Below are 23318 nucleotides of genomic sequence, written 5' to 3'. Positions count from 1 at the left end.
GGTGTGTGCCTGTGGTCCCACCTACTCAAGACACGGAGGTGGGAGGATCGCTTGAGGCTGGGAGGTCTAGGCTATAGTGAGCTGTCATCACGCCACTACACTCCAGCCTGAGCAACAGAGTGAGATTCTGTCAAAAAAAAAAAAAAAACCTACATAAGAAACCTTTCCAACACATACCCCCCCAACCCAAAAAGTCATGATGTAGACAGGGCAGCTAAAATGAACAAATATAACTAAACAAACTGCATTAAAATTTTTGGGTATCTTCCTTAGATTCAAAATACATCCCCCTTTAAAGTAGCTGCCTAGTCGGAGGCAAAAATCTGCTATATGTATTCCTCTCAAAAGACGAAAGGGTGAGATCTGTTCCAGGCATTTGGGTGGGGGATGAGGTGGAGGCAGAAACAAAGGAGAATAAAGAGGACTACAACAAAAGAAAAGTAGGACTGACACCTGAGTGGGCTGATTTGAAAAGAATGGCATAGAATAATCTATGACTGGTTTAACTATTACCTTCAAATTACCACCTTATTTTAAAAGAACCAAAATCAGCACAGTGAGGAAGTTATTCCTGATTTGGGGGAGTAATTAAAATACTAGGGAAATTATTTTTTGATTTGGAAGGTATGAGGTAGACAAAGAAACCCCAATTTGGTCAGGGCCCGTGTGTTGTCCCAGCTTTCAGCAGCATTGATCCTTATTTGACTTACCAAAAAACTTTAACTCTTTTCAAAATGATTGCTTCCATTACAAAAAAAGGGGGGGGGGGGCGGAAATAAGTACATAATTATATCCATTTGAATGCACTGGGTTGGAAGTAACGGAGAATCCTCATTCAAACTGGCTTAAACAATCAGAAATTGTCCTATCTCACATAACAAGCAGCACAGAGGCAGTTTCAGGAATAGTCCATTTCAGTTCCAACTCTGCTTTGCTGAGGTTTTGTTAACTGTCACTCTCTGGACGCTGGCTTCATCTTAGGTTGGCAGAAGTAGCTGCAGCAATTATGGGTATCACATCCCGACAAGATAATGTTCAGGAGAAAGGGGTCATCTTTCTTCTTGCAAGTCTGTCTTATAAGAAAATCATTCCCAGAAGCCTCCCTGTGGTTTTTCCTTCCAATCACTAATGCATATGTGCTCAATGCGAAACTAGTCACTAAGAAAGAGAATGCTATTATCCTGATTGGCTTTAAAAAATCTGAATCTACTTCTGGAGCTGAGGAAATAGGGAATTACACATACTTGTGGTTGTGTTAGAATGGGAAAGTAGAAAATTAAATGTTAAGGCAAAAGGGAGAAACTGAAGTTTAATGTATAAAATTAATTTTAAAAGTAGGTCTCAGATCTGCAGAGGCTGGGACTAGGGTTGGGAAGAGATTTGCTGTAAAGGGGCAAAAGGGAACTTTTGGGGATGAGGAAATGTTCTATATATCTTGATCATGGTGGTAGTCACATAAGTGTATAGATTTGTCAAAGCTCAAACAATCAGCTTAAAATGGGTGCATTTTATTGTATGTAAATTATGCCTCAAAGTTGTTGTGGTTTTTTTAGGGGCTTCTGCGGACTTCTTATAGAGCCCCTCCTTCAAATCGCTGCTCATATATCAATAACTTTATCAGACAGGTCTTTCTCGACTATCCCATAAATAATCACTTGGCTGAATTTCAAAACACACCCTGCCCCCCGCCCCCAAAAAATCTATATCCATTAAAATCCCGGTTCTTATATTCCCTCAAATCAGGAAATATAGTAAATCCACAATTCCTATTAATCTTTAGATCACACAATAATAGACTCTATTATTCTTTGGATCACTGAAAATTTCTAACTTTGATAAACCAAAGGCAACCTCTGTTATCTAAATTATATGAAAATCAGATGGTTGTCATTCTCTGAATACAAGTTTTGAATGGCATATTGAATCTAACAATCTCATACTAGAGTAAAATTGAGTATTTCTGCTGCAAACACTAAACTCTGTGAATCCATTAGTCATGGTATTAGAAAAAAGGTAACAAAGCACATTAAAAAGCAAAATTATAAGGCACAATACAATATACGGCACAGGGGACAATGTTCCCAGGGTGGTGCTATAACATGGGAACATTCAGCTAAGATGGACAGCGTGAGTGAAAAAGCAGACAGCAAGCAATCCTGTATCAGCCTCCAGTACGCTTCTAAGTACTTTATTTAATTTATTTTATTTTATTTTATTCATTTTTTGAGACAGAGTCTCGCTCTGTCACCCAGGCTGGAGGGCGATGGCATGATCTTGGCTCACTGCAACCTCCACCTCCTGAGTTCAAGCGATTCTCCTGCCTCAGCCTCCTGAGTAGCTGGGACTACAGGCATGTGCCATCATGCCTGGCTAATTTTTGTGTTTTTAGTAGAGACGGGGTTTCACCATGTTGGCCAGGCTGGTCTCAAACTCCTGACCTCAGGTGATCCGCCTGCCTCAGGCCTCTCAAAGTGCTGGGATTACAGGCGTGAGCCACTGCACCCAGCCACTCTAAGTATTTTAAACATGATAGCAAAGAAAAGCCTACTCACTATTAATCTAAATAGAAACTCTAATATGCTCATTTTAGGAGAGAAATTTGCAGTTACATTCAGGGTTCCTGAGGCTACTCTAAATTTATTTACTTATCTAACGACTTTTCAAGCTCTGGTTTGTTTGTTTATTTGTATACTATCCAGAACCATCAGATGATGACTTTTTTGAAATATTAACTTGTCTATGTTACAGTGCCCAGTTATTCCATCAAATATTAATCTAGATGGTGCTTGTGAAGGTAGTTTGCTGACATAATTAAAGCCTCTAATCAAATTAAGTAAAAAAGACTAACCTAGATAATCCCAATGGACATAAATGAATCCTTTGGAAAGATTTTAAAACAGGGCTGAGGTTTCCCAGGAGAGAAAAGGAATTCTGCCTGTGGACCACAGCTTTGGCTTGTGCCTGCAACAGGTTCCATCCTGCTCACGATCTTCTCTTCCTGATAGCCTGCCACAGGGATTTCAGTCTTGCTTAGCCAGCCCCACGATTTTACAAGACTATTCTCTGTAATAAATCTCTTAATATATGTAGGCATATATTAATATATATAAATATACGTATAAATCTCATAATATATGTATGCTTGTGTGTGTTTATATATGTGTGTATATATGTATTTATCTATCTCTATGTGTGTGTGTGTGTGTGTGTGTGTATCCTACTAATTCTGCTTCTCACTGAATTCCAACTAATATGCACCACAGTATGGAACATGAATTTAGAAGTACTACTTCTTAAGATTTAATTGGGGAAAATATTTTATATTTATAGATGTATTAATGGGCTTATCCAATCTTCTTTTTAAAATTGCAGTGGGTCAAGAGAGTAGGACAACACTAAATCATCTTCTGACAAGAACTCTTATTTTCTGTAACAGCCAACATGGGAAGGACCTATTTATTTATTTCTTTAGATCACAAAGAACAGGCCTGGGAATCCTTCATAATACAATCTGAACCATTTAATATTGGAGATCCTTTTATAAGAAGCACTATAAAATGCAAAGAATACTAAGGATTTTCTTGAGTTCAATTATTGTAACAGTCTCCTTTCATTTTTGCACTTAGTGGGTTGCTGAACACCCTTAAGAAATTAATTCTACATGCTGAATCTACAGTGTGGCACTACAGTTACATTAGTTGAGGAACTATTTAAAGAGTAAAACAAAGACTAAAGCAATCACAACTAGCAATATCAGAAGTTTACCAGAACGAACACAGACTGATTATATCAAAAAGTAGGGTACCTAAAGAGGTACAGTTCAACTTGACATATAATCAGCTGTTCTTTAACTCTGATCAAGCAAAATTCCAAACAAGCCCCAGCAGTAGCAAAAGCAGCAGTAGCAATTCACTCTAGTATAAGACTGTAACCTTACTTAATGCTCACTTTCCCAGGAAGTCCCAAACAAAACCCCCTGATGGTACAGGGACAGAAACCTGGCATGAAGGGTACAATTTGCACGAGACTGGCTTTCTGAGAAACAGCCATGGCCAAGGGGCAGAAGGAGCATATACATATAAACACACAGACGCCAAAAACCCCAATGGAACAGGACCATGGTAAGACAAAAAGAAAAATGAAGAATCTCAAATGATAAACTATAGGGAGACAGACACAGGCATAGGAAATAGTGGAATGGCAACATAGGAAGCAAATGATTAGTAAGAAACACAGCAGCCACACATATGCAAACGAGTACTAAATCTGGGAACAAGAGGTATAACATAATCCCAACTGTCTTTGACAAAGAATGCACTGATTATCTCCTAAAATAAGCAGAGCTCAGTTTATAAAAATGGCATTCAAGGGCATAAGTGAAACTAAAATCTACCTTAGTTTGTAAGCAAGTCATAATACTAAATATAACCACTTCTACTTAAGACATTGGGTCCAAATGGGGTAAAAGAATAAATCACCTAAGGGTAAGGAGTCTTCAAATAACAGTTGCCAGGAAGTCCAAAAGGAACATAACTAGCCTTGGCAGAACAGAAAGAAAATTGATCTGGAATTTACAAACCACATTCTACTAGCTCTGGCTCAACCACCACGTCACTTCAGCAATGACTTCTCTGGGCCTCAGTTTCCTCTTCCATAAAATGCCATGCTCGATCACTTTCACAAATTCCATGATTCTACTGTTTATTCAGCATCTTAAACTATGTTACCAAGTAGCAAACTACAAACCTGGTAGCAAAAGCTGAGTTATGAAAGCTGTTCCTTTTTTTTTTTTTTCCAGTAGCCAAGAAACTGTGCTGAATCCTAAAACGAAATTATAATGCAATAGGGCCAGAGGACAGAACTCTACAGTGCTTTTTCCAACTTTTATAAGAGTTACATTCTGTGGAAAGAGTAGATCATTTACAACTCTTTCTCAAAATGTGAGAAATACAGTGGCTAATAAAAGCTGCTATTTGGTGTGCTTTGGATATCAAGTACAGACTTAGTCCTATTTCTTACTCTCCTTCAGTTCACATCCATCTCCCAAAATCAATATTGGTGACAAAAATGAGTCAAAAACATTTTCAAGCAAGCTGCCTGAAATAGCAAGCAATAATTTCAAATGTAGATTTCTAATAAGAAATCAAACCATAAAATAAAACTTATTCAAGGAATTTCTTTTCTGAAATATATTTAGTGGGAAGTCACTAATCAATCAAAAGCACCGCATTTTTGTATCTATGCAGTACTGTTGCAGATTTCAAGCCTTTCCAAAAGCAAAGAGAGGCATGTATTCACGTAAGCACGTAATGGGTGAGGGGGTATATACACATGTGTACATGTGTGTGTTGTGGGGAAGGGTGCAGTGCAAAAATGAAGACATAAAAAATGTACATAATCTAATCTTGAGGCTATGGTAATTTTAAAATTCTGACTTAAAGAATTTTATCCATATATCTTATTCAGAACTGAACAAAATGAGTAGAGTTAATACCAAAATAAGAGGAAATAAGTGAGCAGGTAATCAGCCCGTGTTATTTACACTTTCAGTACAGTGAAGGAGAACTGTGAAGGTTAGACTTTATAGTTTTGGTTTCTTGAAAATTAAAATTCTATGACTATAGAATAGGAAAAAATAATACCTTCAGAGGACAGTATCAAGTCTACCACTAACCCCAAAACTTTAAAACTTAGTAAAAAATTTATGGAAGTACTCTAATACTTCTCAGCCTTCAAGATCATAAAAAAAAAAAAATTATTCTTAAGGATCAGTCCTCAAAAGGCCAAGTAGATTAGTGACCCCTTTCTGTCACTGTCAGTCTTTCTGGCTGTTCAGAATACAGGTAATTAACAAAGTTCTACCGGCAGAGTTGTTTCTGCACAGTTTTACATTTATGTTAAATATGTGGTGTAAAAGAAGAGGTCAAGAGGCACATGCTTGACCTTTAGCATAAAATAATAAGAAAACACACCAAAAAAATTATAGGAGACCTGTCTGCCTAGATCTGTTCAAACACAGAATATTTTGAAGAATTCCAAGTCAGAGACAGCTTCATAAAAAAACATATCCGTGGCTCCTAAATTGTCCTCAAAGTGTCTCTCCTCCTAATTTTGATCTAATGCACTGAAGTAACAGCGTGCTTTTCAACAATAAAAACTGTGAAAAGTCTAAAAATTTATAGCCCAACAGAGCATTAGCTCAACAACAAAGGTCTAAACTAGTGATAAAAGATTAACTCCTTTGCTTGAGGATCATTTGATCATTATATAGAGAAATTAAAAAGTAGACATTTGTCCTCTCTTGATTTGCCAGTAAAAAAAACTTTAATTTTAAATTAATGAATACTCTCTTTTTTGCCAATCAATTATGTTACAGCCCATAGCTTCCCAATTTATTCCCATTCTATGTTGCCTTTCAGACACCTCAACAAAGAACGTACAACTGACCTAGAAAAAAGGCAGCTAATACAGTAATAGCAAGAATTCGAGAACCTAAATTCAGAGTTAGATACACTGAAAAAGTATGTCCCCAAAAGCATACTTTTAAAACCATACTTTAACCTCATAAGCCCCAATCAGCTTCACTTTCTTACCTTTCCAACTCAGCTATCTTCTTATCTTTGTCATTCTTCTCATTTTCCACCTCCTTCAAGATTTCTAAGAGTCGATCAACTTCTGCCTGGGCCTTGCTAGATTCATCTTTGTACCTGGTGATCTCTCTCTCCAAGTGCTGTATTCGGTCACTCATCTCTGGACTGGCTCTGGCTTCCAATGCTGCCTCATGTGCCTACAAAGAAAAGCATTTCAATCCTATCAGATACACACAGGTGGCAATGGGCAAACCATGTCCCAAACAATGATTTATATTCCAATTTAAGTACAGAATTATCAAATATCTACCAGTTAGTTTGTAATTTATAAGGTTTTTATCTGCTTAAGTATTATATAGACAAATATTAGTAATAAATGGAGAATTATCTTAGGTTCCAAGTAGATTAGTTGTTTTAAATAACACATCTCTGAATATTATTAAATCAAACACCATCATAAGGCAAAAGATGCTTCAGAGTTTAGTGAGACAAACTAACAGTCATTGAACTGTTGTTATTGATCTCTCCAAGAGAATATCAAAAGGCAACACCAGGGACTCACTGCTGATCGTATAGCCGGACCAGTGCAGAGACCTAACTCCCACTAGACCCTAACTTCCATTTCCATTTCCTATATGCTGCTTTACCTAACACGTGTGACTCACATGGCCTTGGGCATCTAGAATCAAACAGATACTGGGAGTGTGATGCCATAAAAATGTGAGTCAGGTTAAGAAAACAGCTGCTACCATCACACAGGTACCTCCCTCATGCAAGGATTAGAGAATTTACAAAATAATATGGGACAAACAAATGAATTCAGAAATCGAGAACCACACTTAAGGATGGGCTCAGTGGCTTGAGCCTGTAATCCCAGCACTATAGGAGGCCCAAGCAGGGGGACTGCTTGCAGCCATAAGTTGAAGACCAGCCTGGGCAACACAGCAAGGCCCCATCTCTATTGGAAAAAAAAATTGTTTAAGAAAAATTTTTTTGAAAGAACCACACTAAGATCTGAGAAAAAAATTTTTATTCAGGATCCTACAAAAGTCAACTAATATTGTTAATGCATTTTGGAATACAAAACAGTTTCAATAATTAAAAACTAATTTTCAAGTCCCTAGCTGTCTTCTGGAATCTCTAAAGCCATGTATGTATAATGTGTTTAATGAGAAGACAAAAGCTTAGACGTTTTATTTTTTCTTATTCAATAGACAACAGAATATATTTAGTCCCTTAAAATGGTTTGAAAAAATATTAAAGGAGAAAATATATATTCTTAGGAAATATTTCAGAAAGCTCTGAAGCAAAGTACCTTGAGTAAATGAGAAATGTTTATATAATTGTATTAAACGCTTGGTGAAAGTAACAGCTATACTTTTAAGATAAGTCCTTTCCCAAGTTCATTTGTTTAAGGCTTCACATGTGTAGAAAAAAATCTTTTATGTCTTAAATATAGGCTTCCCTAACCCTTAACCTTGATACACATATGAAGTATATTTTAAGAAACAAAAATCATATAAGTTTGGAAGGTAAGATGAGAGCACTGTTCTGCACTGAATGTTGTCCAATGTCTAAAATCAGTTGTTTCACGTGGTTTCCCAGTTTTTGAGTTGTTAATTGTAGGAGGGAAATTCCTGTAGCAGTCAATCCTTCATGGGCAGGAGAAGGCTATAAATATATCTAATAGAAAAGGAGAGAGGGAAGAAGACCATAAGGAGTACCAAGATCAGGAGATATTTCAATAGAAAGCTGATCATATTACACATAAAGAGAGGGGACAACAAAGGCGAAGAGATTGAAGATGCAAACAAAAGCAGAAGTAACTGAGAAAATTCTTAGTATCTACGAAGAAAGAAGGTGACGAAATAGGCAATAGGAGGCAGCTTGATGTAGGGGCACAAAAGATGATTGTGTAAACAAAAGTGAAGGCCAGCTGGCATTTAACGTCACTGAGATAATTCTGATTTCTAATAATTTATTATAAATTATTTATTATAACTCCACAAATATAAATATAACTACTGCATATCAGCATTCTGGGCCTTCATACACGCTGGTGAGTCCTTACTTTGAGGTCTCAGCTTAGAAAGTGTCGCTTTTGTTAGGAGGTTCTCCATGACCTTGACCTAAGTTAGTTCTCCTTGATATAAGCTTCCCTCACACCATGTGATTTACTACAATTACCTTTTTAAGTGTCTATCTTCTTAATAGAGGCTATAAATTATATAAGTCAAGGGACAGGTCTGTCTTGTCCACCACTATATATCCTCAGTGCACAGTGTGGTAACTGACAGAGTAAAAACTCAATTATTTGTAGAAAAAATGAATATGCAAAAGCAGTGTGCTAGTTTCCATTTGATTTAAAACAGCCCATAGGCCTAAACGGTAGGAAAAGAAAAATGATTGGGAAGAAGAGAAATTAATCAGTAATTAAATATAAGTGCAAGATTAAATGTAGCTGGAATATTATTAAGAATATCAAATGAGGCCAGGTGCAGTGGTTCACGTCTCTAATCCCAGCACTTTGGGAGGCTAAGCTGGGAGAATTCCTTGAGCCCAGGAGTTCAAGACCTGCCAGGGAAACACAATGGGACCTCGCCTCTACAAAAAAAAATAAAATAATAATGATAAAGATAATAAAAGAATACTAAATGACAATCTTTAAAGACAAAATAAATCAAGCTAGGAAAAAAAAAATCAAAGATACTATAAACCTTCCCTTCCCTTATGACAACAAATTCTGTATCAGAGTAGTTTACATCTAAATTCTTGCTGAGTTAATTTGTACTTTAAAATAAAATTCCAAGAATTTTAAACCCCTTAAAGACCTTTACAACTTTATAAATTATAATACAAACTCAAAAAAAGGCATATTTTTCAAATCAGTGTTATAAACATCCCTTTAAAAGGGATTTCTAAGCCAGGTGCAGTGACTGGCTCACGCCTGTCACCCCATCACTTTGGGAGGCCGAGGTGGGTGGATCACCTGAGGCAAGGAGTTTAAGACCAGCCTGGCCAACATGGCAAAACCCCATCTCCACTAAGAGTACAAAAATTAGCCAGGGGTGGTGGTGCACACCTGTAATCCCAGCTACTTGGGAGGCTGTGGCACAAGAATTGCTTGAACCTGGGAGGTAGAGGCTGCAGTGAGTCGAGATTGTGCCACTGCACTCCAGCCTGGGCAACAGAGTGAGACTCTGTCACAAAAAAATAAATGAAGATAAAATGGATTTCTAAATTGTGGAATATGACATTTAATTCAAGATGTAAGCATTTCTTCTGTCCATAGTCACTTATCATGGTATCAATATGAAAGGTATTTTCTGGATGAAGGTGTTTAATTTCATGCCTTCATTTTCTTCTCCCCTTTCTTACCCATTAAGTTCTAACTATACGTTAACCTATGCTTTAAAAATGCAGATACTCCATACACCTTGCTTTTAGAATGTGAAAAGGTCAAGAACATTCAGAAGCAAAAGCTGCAAACTTTAGTGAAATAACAGTATTTGTATAAAATATCACCTTTGGACAAGAGAGGCTGACGTAACAGTGAATAATCCTCCTTAAAATACTGAGTTAAAGGTTAAGCTCTCCATCCACAGGCCTTGTTCTACTGAAAAACACCTACCTTTAACATTATTAAAACCTCAGTACTCATACACTGGAGGCAAAGATTTTGTTCCTTTGTATTTCATACATGTCATAGTAAAACACGTAAGATTACAAAACCATGCAGATAATCATATTCCCATAGAAATCAACATTTTCACCACATAACCTATTTAATGAGAGAGTAAAGACTAACACACGTTTTTTTCCTTATTCAATAAGCAACAAAACATATTTAGTCCCTTAAAATGGTTTCAAAAAATATTAAAGGGGAAAACACACATACTTAGGAAAGCTCTGATTCAAAGTACTTTGAGCAAAAGAGAAACATTTATGTAAATTTTGTTAAATGCTTTGTGGAAGCAATAGAGGTACTTTCGAGATTAAGTCCTCTACCAATTTCTTTTGTTTCAGGTTTCATCAGTTGTCAAAATTCAGTTACTAAGCATGGCCTTTACAAAAGACTCTATTGGCAGAAACATATTTTAATGTGTTAGCGAAACTGTACCCTAAACTGGTGTGGCTAAAAGCCACAACATGGTGGAAATAAAAGCAAAGAGAAGCAGTCCTGAATGAATTAACTCACTAGGAACAAAACAAGGTAAAAGCAGCAGAAATGCAAACAGTTTCCAAAGTCTCAGGAAAAATTTTGGTCTTAGAGAAGCCTTTCTATTTTGTAGTCACCTCAATATAAATTAAAAAAAAAAAAAAACAACCTAGAGTTCCTATTTCGGGAAGGGAGAGGTGAGAAGGTTAAGTATATTCATTTATCTATAGGGTGATAAAAATGTCATTCACACAAAAGTCAGAAAAGAAACTATCAACTGGGACTTTCTGGCAACACTTGGCTAGGTCACTCACTGGCTTGGATGAGTGGCTCCACACTATTCCAGGATGCCAAAGACAGTAAGAAGCATCAGGGAGAAAAGAAAGAAAGAAAAGTACAGAAAATGGTTTTAAGAGTAAGATAATCAAGGGAAACAAAATTAACGGTTTAAAAAAATGGTGAAAAAAAAACCTTCAATAAAAAAATCAGAGTATAGAAATAAATATTTCACTCTACAAGGGAAAAAAAAAAGCATTAAGCATTTTTAAAATTCTGATAACTCAAGGCTGAGCATAGTGGCCTTGCTCCCAGCAGTTTGGGAGGCCATGGCAGAAGGATCTCTTGAGGCAGGGGTTTGAGACCAGCCTAGGCAACATGGCAAGACCCCTCTATTTAAAAAAAAACAAAAGGCCAGGTGTGGTGGCTCATGCCTGTAATCCCAGCACTTTGGGAGGCTGAGGCGGGTGGATCATGAGGTCAGGAGTTTGAGACCAGCCTGGTCAAAATAGTGAAACCCCATCTCTACTAAAAATACAAAAATTAGCCGGGCACAGCGGCATGCGCCTATAAACCCAGCTACTCTGGAGGCTGAGGCAGGAGAATCACCTGAGACCGGGAGGCGGAGGTTGCAGTGAGCCGAGGTTGTGCCACTGCACTCCAACCTGGGCGACAGAGTGAGACTCTGTCTCAAAATTAACTTAGCCAGGTGTTGTGGCATGGGTCTGTAGTCCCAGCTCTTCAAGAGGATGAGGCAGGAAGATCACTTATACCTAGAAGTTTGAAGTCACAGTAAACTATGATTACGCCACTGCACTCCAGCCTGGACGACAGAGCAAGACCCTGTCTCTAAAAAACAAAGAAAAAAAGACAAAAAAATCTGATATCTCAAAAGTTGAGTTTCAATCCTTTCCTCAATAAATTCTGAGGATATTATCTCATGCTGAAGACATGGAATGCCAATATTCAGATACAGGATATACATTCTTAAGCTATAAATAGGTCAAAAATGACTCCAATTATCATTACCTCAAGACCAGTCATTTCCTACTCCAAACAAAACAGAGAAGAAATCTACTTTTAAAATTTCAATGATAAGCACAGGCTTTTGAAAAAATGTAAATTAGAACACTAATAATACAGTAATAGTTTCCAAGAAGAAAATACGCCAAATAGTCCTTCATGTAAATCTACACATAAGCTATAAACCAAAAAATAGACCCTAATGTAGAAGGTGAAGATAATAAAATTCTAGGCCCAATAAGTTGCTAAGAGAAATTAAAAATATAACAAATAAAAAAAACTTTCTGACAATATGTGCCCTGTCTTTAAAAAAAAAGCTAGGAAATTAACATTCTCCAAAATGAGATAAAATCTGAAACAGGATATTTAACAATTATTCTGAGTCTCAGACCTTACTACATATGTTAAATTAGAAAATATGCTCCCACTTATTCTTTTTTTTTTCTTTTTTTTTTTTTTTGTGAGATGGAGTCTTGCTCTGTCGCCCAGGCTGGAGTGCAGTGGCACGATCTTGGCTCAATGCAACCTCTGCCTCCTGGGTTCAAGTGATTCTCCTGCCTCAGCCTCCTGAGTAGCTAGGATTACAGGCCTGCGCCACCAAGCCTGGCTAATTTTTTTGTGTTTTTAGTAGAGATGGGGTTTCGCCATGTTGGTCAAGCTGGTCTCGAACTCCTGACCTCGTCATCTGCCCGCCTCGGCCTCCCAAAGTGCTGGGATTACAGGCATGAGCCACCGTTTTTTCTTTTTTTAAGAGATGGGGTCTCACTCTGTGGCACAGGCTGGTGTCCAACTCCTGATCAAGTAATCCTCCCACCTCAACCTCCCAAGGAGCTGGAATTACAGGCATGAGTTACCACACCTGGCAGAAGTCTGATTCTAATGGGAGAAAAATATCAGGTAACAGAGATTTTTACACTCTGGTCTCATATTTTACCCACAAGAGAGTTGCATATTTTAATCTTTCTCTGAACTGTCAATTTTTAAAGATTTGGGGATTATCTTGAATAAAATAAAGTAGGATAAGAATGCTAAGATAATTAATTCAGATATACATGGTATTTTAAAGTTTGGCGGATTATTATTCCATTGGTAAATTATTCCATATAAACATGCTAAGGTTATCTACTATGTTCTTATTTAAGGCAAAGCAAAAAAATGTGAAATTTTTTCTTTAACCTTTTTCAATTGTGATTCCATTTTCAGACACTCCTCCTTCTTCTGCTCCAAAGCAATCTCTAGTGTCTTAAGCCGTGAGTCCTTTTTCAGTCCTGAGGATGCCAGAGAAGAAGCATGCTCTTTCAGATCCAAAAGTGAAGCCTAAAAGAAGGAACACACATCTAGAATAAATAATTTTAAAAAAAATAGAGGTTTAAATTTTTAAATTTATCATGGTAGCTGTAATTTCCTTTCTATTACCAAATGCTGACATACTCCCATTACAAGGAAACTCATTCATGAAATATAAAACAATATTAGCTCTAGCTTTCAACTCTTAACAAATAAGATGGATTCTCAAGAAATACCCATTGAACAGTGATGTAAAGAGTTCTGTCAATACAAAATAAACCAAAGTAGATCAAGCTTTGTGAATGTAAGTAGTCAAACCTCAGTAGCTACGTTAACTTAAACAGAAAACATTTTTCGGCCAGATACCTGTAAACCCAGCATTTTGGGAGGCTGAGACAGGGGGATCACTTGAGGCCAGGAGTTCAAGACCAGCCTGGGCAACATAGCAAGACCCTGTCTTCACAAAAAAAAATTTTTTTAACTTAGCTGGGCATGGTAGTGCACACGTATAGTCCTAGCTACATGGAAGACTGAAATAGGAAGATCCCTTGGGCCCAGGAGTTCAAGACTGCAGTGAGCTATGATAATGCCACTGCACTCCAGCCTGGGCAACAGAGTGAGACACAGTCTCTTAAAAGAAAAAAAAAAAATCACATTTTTCCCTATTAAAAGAAAAATTCTATTAGGAATTTAAACTTCCATAACATTGCCTAAAGATATTAGAAAGAAAATCCACAGAAAGATGCTAAAGCTCATGCATTATCATCATCTGATTACATAGCATGAGGCATCTTTGCTATTTAGGTCATATTAACAGGATTCTCCAAAAACAAGACCAAAGTATATTAAGTCACCTAATTTAATAGCTGTTGTGTTCTTTGATAGTTGCTATACATAAAATTTCCTCCTTTTGCATATTCCTTTTATCTGTCAACTTTCTTATCTTTAGCACACTATTTCTCCAAATGTATCTGAGCTTCAGTTACTTTAGGTCTATAAAAATATTAGTAAGTAAAAAACCAACATAAAACAAAGTGAGTAATACTTAGAAAATGAATGAACCAATCCGCTATGTCTCTGCAAAGCTTTCTGAAATATTCCTTAAGGTATTCAACAAAAGCCTGCTAAAAGAATATTAAGAAAATTTTCCATCGAATACTTTTTTATATGCATTATGTAAACACCAACATACAGACACATGCAATGATTAAGCAAACAAACTAATTCCATTTTGGGGAGCTTAACCTCTTTCTCTGAAAGGTCGCCTTGCAACAGGCTGACTTTTTCCTTCAAGTCTTTAAGATCTTTTTTGTAGTTATCAATTTCCTCTTGCTTCTCTCGCTCATCTCTGTCCCTCTGCTCCTTTAAGCGTTCAATTGTCCGCTCCTGATGAGAGAATATATCAACATGTGAAGAAATTCCCTTTTGCACTTATATGACTGTAATTCTGCTTTTAGCAGAATTTCAAACTTCTATATTCAAAAGACAATGGTAAGTTTTTAAAGAATCCACTTTTTTTTTTTTTTTGAGACAGAGTTTCGCTCTTGTTGCCTAGGCTCGAGTGTAATGGCGTGATCTCGGCTCACCATAACCTCTGCCTCTCGGGTTCAAGCGATTCTCCTGCCTCAGCCTCCCAAGTAGCATGCCACCACGCCTGGCTAATTTTGTATTTTTAGTAGAGACAGGGTTTCTCCACGTTGGTCAGGCTGGTCTTGAACTCCTGACCTCAGATGATCCACCCGCCTCGGCCTCCCAAAGTGCTAAGACTACAGGTGTGAGTCATTGTGCCTGGCCAGAATACATTTTTTAAATAATTCATCCTTCTTATTCATCTTGCCATAACAAGGATGTAGGTTTATTCATTTGAATCCCAAGGTTTCTTTTCTTATAATCTCAACTAGTATTTGATATCACTAAAGTATTCTTTTGCAATATTTCCATTTATTCAATTTCCAGGTAACTAAAAGCTTATATATACACCCTAAGGACAATAACTAACAAATATTTCTTCTCTATATATTATTCACATGTTGCCCACAAGGCAATGGAAACAACTCACAACTCACACACCAAAAAAGGGGGGAATGGGAAAGATTTTGATATATTGAGCTTAAAATATAAAGGAAGGTAAAGAAAAGAGAAATCATCAAAACTTTCTGTCAACAGATACTCAAGAAGTTTGAAAATCAGAGCAATTTGGCCAGGTGCAGGGGCTCATGCCTGTAATCCCAACACTTTGGGAGGCCGAGGTGGGTGGATCACTTGAGGTCAGGAGTTCAAAACCAGTCTGGCCAACATGGCAAAACCCCGTCTCTACAAAAAATACAAAAAATTACTTGGGCATGGTGGCTCATGCTTGTAATCTCAGCTACTCGGGAGGCTGAGGCAGGAGAATCGCTTGAACCTGGGAGGTGGAATTTAGTGAGACAAGATCACGCCACTGCACTCCAGCCTGGGCACAGAGTGAGACTCCATCTAAAAAAAATGTTTCCCTTCACACTACGTATGTCAGCAATAGCACACAGCAGCTCTTTTCCCTTGTGCCCACAGGGATTTCTTTTGTATTCTATATCCAGTCTTAGATTAATGAGAAAGCAGAAAACGTGTGTGGAGAGTTGGGGCCAGCCACTCACTTTCTCTGCAAGGGCCTCCTCCAAAGTTGTCAAGGCAGTGTCAGTGTTGGTGGTGTCAGCCTGCAAGGATTTGACCCGTTCTTTCAAGCTGCTCATCTGCTTTTCCTTGTCTCTAAGCTGCTCTTGAAGATTTTCAATCTAAATGTACATAAATATTTAAGGGAAAAGAGAGGACATGTATAAAAAAACAATAGCACAATCAAAATCATTTCAATTTGAAAACAGATAGCTCAGGGTTGTCTGTGTGTGTGCATTCTGTAGAAATCATTTAATCCTAAGAGTTTCAGAATTACATGCAAAACCTTAAATTTGTAGGCAAATTAAATTTGTAGGAACTTGTAGGCAAAACAAAAAAAAGTACACATGTGTATGCGCGCGCGCACACGCGTGCGCGCACACACACACACACACACACACACACACATCCCTAACAAAATAAGAAAAGTAGCTAGCAGAAAAGATCCAGTATAGAGATGGCCATGTAGAGAGGAAAGCCATGAGGACTAGGATTACTTCTAAAATGACATTGTAAATGCCAAGAGGGATTTCTTCACAAAGAATAAAGGGAGGACAGAGGATAGAGCAGCTAAACAGTGAAAAAGACAAATCAGCTATATAAAGAAAAGACTGTGTTCTTAAAGGCTAGTGTTAGGTTAGTTTTACACCATCTTTTATCTAAGCAGCAAACATTTTCTTAGCCATTCATTCATACATACTTATATGCATTCATTTACTTATATCATCTTTTATCTAAGCAGCAAACATTTTTGTGGCCATTCATTCATATACACTTACATGCATTCATTTACTCAAAAAACGTTTGTTGAATTCTGTATTACATGCCAGACACTATGGATATGAAGAAAAATGAGGCCGGGCGCGGTGGCTCACGCCTGTAATCCCAGCACTTTGGGAGGCCGAGGCGGGCAGATCACGAGGTCAGGAGATCAAGACCATCCCAGCTAAAACGGTGAAACCCCGTCTCTACTAAAAATACAAAAAATTAGCCGGGCGTAGTGGCGGGCGCCTGTAGTCCCAGCTACTTGGGAGGCTGAGGCAGGAGAATGGCGTGAACCCGGGAGGCGGAGCCTGCAGTGAGCCGAGATCCCGCCACTGCACTCCAGCCTGGGCGACAGAGCGAGACTCCGTCTCAAAAAAAAAAAAAAAAAAAAAAAAAGAAAAATGAATAGACTCATTTTTATTCTACCATGAGATGGTAAGAAAATGCATCATTATACAGCTGAAGCCAAGCTATAAAACAGTTTGTGTGCCAACCTAAGGAGCACAGATTTTATTATAGAGAGATGGAAGCCCTTAGAGATTTTTAAGCACAGAAGTGGTCTGGCCAGTTCTGTACTTTAAATAAATAACAGTACCAGTGTTGGCAGTGTCAGCATGCAAGGATCTGATCTTTCAATGAAAACTTAAGAGGACTCGCATATAGACATGGAAAACCATTAGAGTTTGTATCAGTTCAGGTAAGATGATGGGGACTCAACATACTATGAGATAACACTGTGGAAATAGCATGTTATCACTCAAGTACAGCAAGCGGCATGTTATCACTCAAGTACAAGGAGACTCAAGTACAATAAAAATTATTATTCAAGTATAATTAAAAAATCAAGCAAACTATGAGGAAATTCTAAGGAGCTATCCTTAATAAGCTAAAGGAAAATTATAAATAAACCAACTACTCACAAAGTTTATTCATTCACTATATACACAGGAGTTCAAATTCCCACCATAGATCAGGCACTTTTCCAGTTGCTGAGGAAACAGAGTAATGAAAACAGACCAAATCCCTGCCTTCATGGAGCTTACATTCTAGTAAGGTAGACAAATGAATGATGGAGGGAGGGAATGAGTGACTGAACAAATGAATGAATCAACATAGTGTAGGGCAGAGATAAGTTCTATGGAGAGAAATGAAGCAGGAGAATATAATCACCATCTCCTCTTGAGCTGATACTAGAACTACCTGATTTTTCTACGTGGTTTTCAAAATGCAAGATAAACATTATCTCCTCTAGGAACAGTCTGTTGCCCTCACCCCCAAGAGAAAAACCTGATCATTGTCTGTACCCCAGTAATGATACATATACATGTATATATTATGTATAAATACACACTCCTCCATTCTTCCATGTATCTATATATTGATCACATATCTCCATTCCTCTATCTATCAATCATTATAGCACTGATTAGTGTATGAAACCATATGTAATCTTTGTTTTATACATGTCTCAAGTAGACATGGATCCTGCCCCTCCAGCTGTTTTGTACCTTCCTATACAGTACATCTCAGATCATAGTAAACATTAATCAATAAATGAATAAAATATAAGTTTGGACTTCCATAAACTATATTCAGGGATTCACAAAAACTCCTGCCAATAACGGAATTACAAAACAATCCTGGATCCAATTGTCAGGTAGTTTCTTACATTAATAAATTTAGTACAAGCTCTTTAAGGTACCTCTCTAGAGTCAAGAAGAACTCGACAGGCAGAACAAAAAAGCTAAGAAAGAGATTTGGTAAGTTTAGAATAGGGTATGTGAATATGCTGAAGCTTACATTTTCACTTGTTAACAAAGAGATAATCGTATGGGTGAACCACTGAATTGCCCAGTAAGAGACCAAAGCCTATTGTAAGAACTGAGTTCATCCGAGATGGAAAGCATTAGTCTTCCCTTGATTTAATCAGACACTACTATTGAAATCTCATACGGATCAACACTTAGGTCAACTCATAACCAGTAAAGAGAATTTTGCCACTCAAAAATTCAGTACTCCATATACGGGTATACCTGGATTTCTTACGCTTTGCTTTATTGCTCTTCACAGATACGGGTTTTTTACTAACTGAAGGTTTGTGGGAACCCTGCGTCGAGCAAGTCTATCGGCACTACTTTCCAAGAGCTTTCTAACTTGGTGTCTCTGTCACATTTTGGTAATTCCTGCAACATTTCTTTTTCACTATTATTGTATCAGTTACAGTGATCCGTGATCAGTGATCTCTGATGATACTATTGTAATTTATCTGGGGTGCCATGAACTCTGCCCGTATGAGATGGTGAACTTAAGAAATGTTGCATGTGTTCTGACTGTTCCACTGATCAATCATTCCCTCTTCTCTCTCCCTCTGTGTCAGCCTTCCTATTCCTTGAAACACAACTACATTGAAATTAGGCCAATTCATAACCCAACAATGGCCTCTAAATAGTCAGGGAGAAGGAAAAGTTGCACATCTCTCACTTTTAGTCAAAATTTAGAAATGATTAAGTCAAATGCTACATGCAGAGTTTGAAAAGTAAAAAAGATTAAGCTTAGTGAGGAAGGCATGTCAAAAGCCAAGACAGGCTGAAAGCTAGGCCTCTGGAACCAAACAGTCAAGTTACTGAAGGAAATCAAAAGTGCCACTCCGATGAACACACAAAAAAGAAATCAACCTTATTGCTGATATGGAAAAAGTTTGCTGGTTTGGATACAGGATCAAACCAGCCACAGCATGCCTCAAGCCAAAGCCTAATCCAGAACAAGGCCCTAACTCTCTTCATTTCAATGAAGATTGAGAGAGGTGAAGAAGCTAAAGGAGAAAAGTTTCAAGCTAGCAGAGGTTGGTCATGAGGTTTAAGGAAAGAAGCCGTCTCCATAATATAAAAGTGTAAAGTAAAGCAGCAAGTGCTGACGGAGAAGCTGCAGCATGTTATCCAGGTCTAGCTAAGACAATCAATGAAGATGGCTACAACAAACAATGAATTTTCAATGTATTTGGTTGGTGCAAAAGTAATGGCAGTTTTGCCATTGAAGTTACTTCTACACCAACCTAATAGATGAAACAGCCTTTTATTGGCAAAAGATGCCATCTAGTACTTTCATAGCTAGAGAGGATAAGTCAATGTCTGGCTTCAAAGCTTCAAACATTAGCCAGGTGTGGTGGTCCATGCCTGTAATCCCAGTTATTCACGAGGCTGAGATGGGAGAACTGCTTGAACCCAAAAGGCAGAGGTTGCAGTGAGCCAAGTTCATGTCACTGCACTCCAGCCTGGGCAACGAAGCGAGACTCTGTCTCAAAAAGGAAAAAAAAAGAAAAGAAAAAAAAAACAAAGAAAACAAAGCTTCAAAGAAGAGGATGACTCTCTTGTTAGGGGATAATGCAGCTGGTGACTGAAAGTTGAGGCCAGTGTTCATTTATCATTCTGAAAATCCTAGGGCCTGTGGAATTATGGTAAATCTACTCTGCCTATGCTTTATAAATGGAACAATGAAGCCTCTATCACAGCCCATCTGTTTACAACATGGTGTACTTGGTGTATTAAACCCACTGTGGAGACCTACTGCTCAGAAAAAAAGATTCCTTTCAAAATATTACTGCTCACTGACAATGCATCTGGTCACCCTAGAGCTCTGATAGAGAGGTACAAGGAGATTCATGTTTTTCTTATGCCTGCTAATATAACATCCATTCTGCACCTCATGGATCAAGGAGTCATTTTGATTTCTAGTCTTACTAGTTAAGAAATACATCTTGTAAGGCCATAGTTGGTGATTCCTCTGATGGATCTGGGCAAAGTAAATTGAAAACTTTTTGGAAAGGATTCACCATTCCTGATGTCATTAAAAACATTTGTGATTCACAATAGGAGGTCAAAATATCAACATTAACAGGAGATTGGGAGAAGTTGATTCCAATCCTCACGGATAACTTTGACAGGCTCAAGACTTCAGCAGAAGTAGTCACTAAAGATGTGGAAATAGCAAGAGAAACAGAATTAGAAGTGGAGCCTGACGCTGTGACTGAACTGCTGCAACTTCATGATAAAATCTGAACAGATGGGCCAGGCGCAGTGGCTCACACCTGTAATCGCAGCACTTTGGGAGGCCGAGGCAGGCAGATCACTTGAGGTCAGGAGTTCAAGACCAGCCTGGCCAACATGGAGAAACGCTGTCTCTACTGAAAATACAAAAAGTTAGCCAGGCGTGGTGGTGGGCACCTGTAACCCCAGCTACTCGGGAGGCTCAGGCAGAAGAATCACTTGAACCCAGGAGGCAGAGGTTGCAGTGAACCAAGATCACGCCATTGCACTCCAGCCCGGGCAACAATAGCAAAACTCCGTCTCAAAAAAAAAAAAAAATTGAACAGATGTGGAGCTGCTTCTTCTGAATGAGTAATAAGAGTGTTTTTTGTTGTTGCTTTTTTTTTTTGAGACAGAATCTACTCTTGGTGAAGATGATGTGAACATTGCTGAAATGACAACAAAATATGTAGAATATTAATAAACTTAGTTGATGAAGCAGTGCCACGGGTTGAGAGGATTGACTCTAATTTTGAAAGAAATTCTACTGTGGGTAAAATGCTATCAAATAGCACTGCAGGATTCAGAGAAATCTTTTTTGAAACGACGAGTCAATTGATGCAGCAAACTTCACTGATGTCTTACTTTAAGAAACTGCCACAGCCACCCCAACCTTCAGCAACTACCACCCTGATCAGTCAGCAGCCACCAACACAGAGGCAAGACACTCCACTAGCAAGAATATTACGAGTTGCTGAAGGCTCAGAAAATCATTAGCATATTTTGCAATAAAGTATTTTTAAATTAAATTATGTACATTTTTAGATATAATGCTATTGCATACTTAATAAACTACAATATAGTATAAACATAACTTTTTATATGCTCTGGGAAGCCAAAAAATTTGTGTGACTCGTTTTACTGTGGTGGTCTGGAACTGAATCTGCAATATCTCCGAGGTATACCTGTATATACAGAACACAATGCCTTGGTGTTTACATGTTTAACCAGCTGTGCAGGTCATTCCAGTTGCTAACATATAGGTCTTATACAAAGAAAAGCTATGGTCATGCTGTTGATTAGACTTTCCTGTCAAGAAAGGGCAATACAAGAAACATTATTTAAAATGAAATTTCACAGAACCAACCAAGTTTTACATACAAGAAGACAGATTTGTTTTATGAGCCTACCTAATATACAAACACCCCTTACATGCATAATAAGGATAATACCCTTCTTTCTACTCCATCATCTGCATCTAGGGAGAAATTCAGGAATTAAAATGTTAACAATTTCACTTTTATACCTGATATGTAGTTAAACTATTAAAGGAATCCATTATTCTTTGCTAGTAAACACTTCTGCTGATATACTCAGGTGCAGAAGCTGCTGAAACAGGTAAAATGCCGTCAGCAAGTTCTTGGCAAGTTACTTTCTTTTTCAATTACCCACTCTAGAGAGACTGACTGTTGAGTCGGAGTGAAAAGGGATGGCTATTCTCAGACTCTTATTTACTTCTAAAAGAGGAGAAACAAACATTTCATAGTGAAAGGATCTCACAAAATAAAAAAAGAACAGTGGACACTAAGATTACCTCCTCTGGGCAAGCTGCCATCAGTGAGGAAGACCTGAAATAGACACAGATAGGTGCAAACCAGCTGTGTAAGCACTGAACAAACCCGAAACACGCAGGGGGTGGGAGGTGGGTGTGTCGGGTGAAATGTGTGCCCATAAAAATACTTCTCTTTCCGTTTATCCAGCATCATGATGGCTAACAGCTGAGCCCCACTGAATGCAGCATCACAATGGATAACAGCTGAGCCCCCACTGAATCCAGCATCATGATGGGTAACAGCTGAGCCCCACTGAATGCAGCATCACAATGGATAACAGGTGAGTCCCACTGAATCCAGCATCATGATGGGTAACAGCTGAGCCCCACTGACTGCAGCATCACGATGGATAACAGCTGAGCCCTCACTCACTGAATTCAGCATCATGATGGGTAACAGCTGAGCCCCACTGAAGGCTCCCATGACATATCCTCACTTTCGTTGTGATCAAGGACCTCAGTTTATATGTGTCACTGACCAGCTGAAGAATGAATGTTACCACATTATTCTTGTCATTATTCTCTTCTTTTTCACCAAGCTAATGTTGAGGTTATAAATGCTGTTTACTCTGATAGTCCCATATCATATTATTTCAGTATGTATTATGCCATTTTTATAAAATATTCAGCAGAGAGTCTATTCTATACTAATTCAAGTACCCATAGGATCTGAAATATAAGATTTATAAGAAGCTTTGAACAGCCAAGAGAAAAACTGGATCCATTATGCACATACTAGAACATAAAGATAAAAATGATTGTTCAGAATCACGTTTAGCAGAAAAATACCCTTTTAAATATGCTCGGAATATCCAGTTTTTAAAAACTCTCCATTGTTTAGGACTATAAACCACAGAACCCCTAAAATAAAATAACAAGAACGACGATTCTAACAGTGGTGGTGGGGAGGTAGATTACAGAAGCAGCCAACACTT

General features: G+C 37.9%; 1 protein-coding gene across 54 annotated transcripts in view; it reads right to left on the bottom strand.

The window, feature by feature from the left end:
- ERC1 (ELKS/RAB6-interacting/CAST family member 1) overlaps positions 1–23318 on the bottom strand; it is a 505975-nt gene that overhangs the window by 299288 nt on the left and 183369 nt on the right. For all 54 annotated transcript variants that reach the window (NR_027948.3, NR_027946.3, NR_027949.3 and 51 more), the window contains 4 exons: positions 15969–16106; positions 14581–14721; positions 13225–13365; positions 6594–6787 (listed from right to left, as the gene is read on the bottom strand). Coding sequence is in view for 50 of the 54 variants with exons in the window: in XM_047428566.1 (XP_047284522.1) it covers positions 6594–6787; positions 13225–13365; positions 14581–14721; positions 15969–16106 (614 nt within the window). In the remaining 4 variants the exon portion in view is untranslated. The remainder of the gene's footprint in view (positions 1–6593; positions 6788–13224; positions 13366–14580; positions 14722–15968; positions 16107–23318) is intronic.

The sequence above is a fragment of the Homo sapiens genome, chromosome 12 (genome assembly GCF_000001405.40).
Source record: "Homo sapiens chromosome 12, GRCh38.p14 Primary Assembly".
In the NCBI taxonomy this organism is placed as follows: Eukaryota; Metazoa; Chordata; class Mammalia; order Primates; family Hominidae; genus Homo; species Homo sapiens.
Note: the sequence above shows the minus strand (reverse complement) of the source record. Positions and strands in the feature narration are given on the sequence as shown.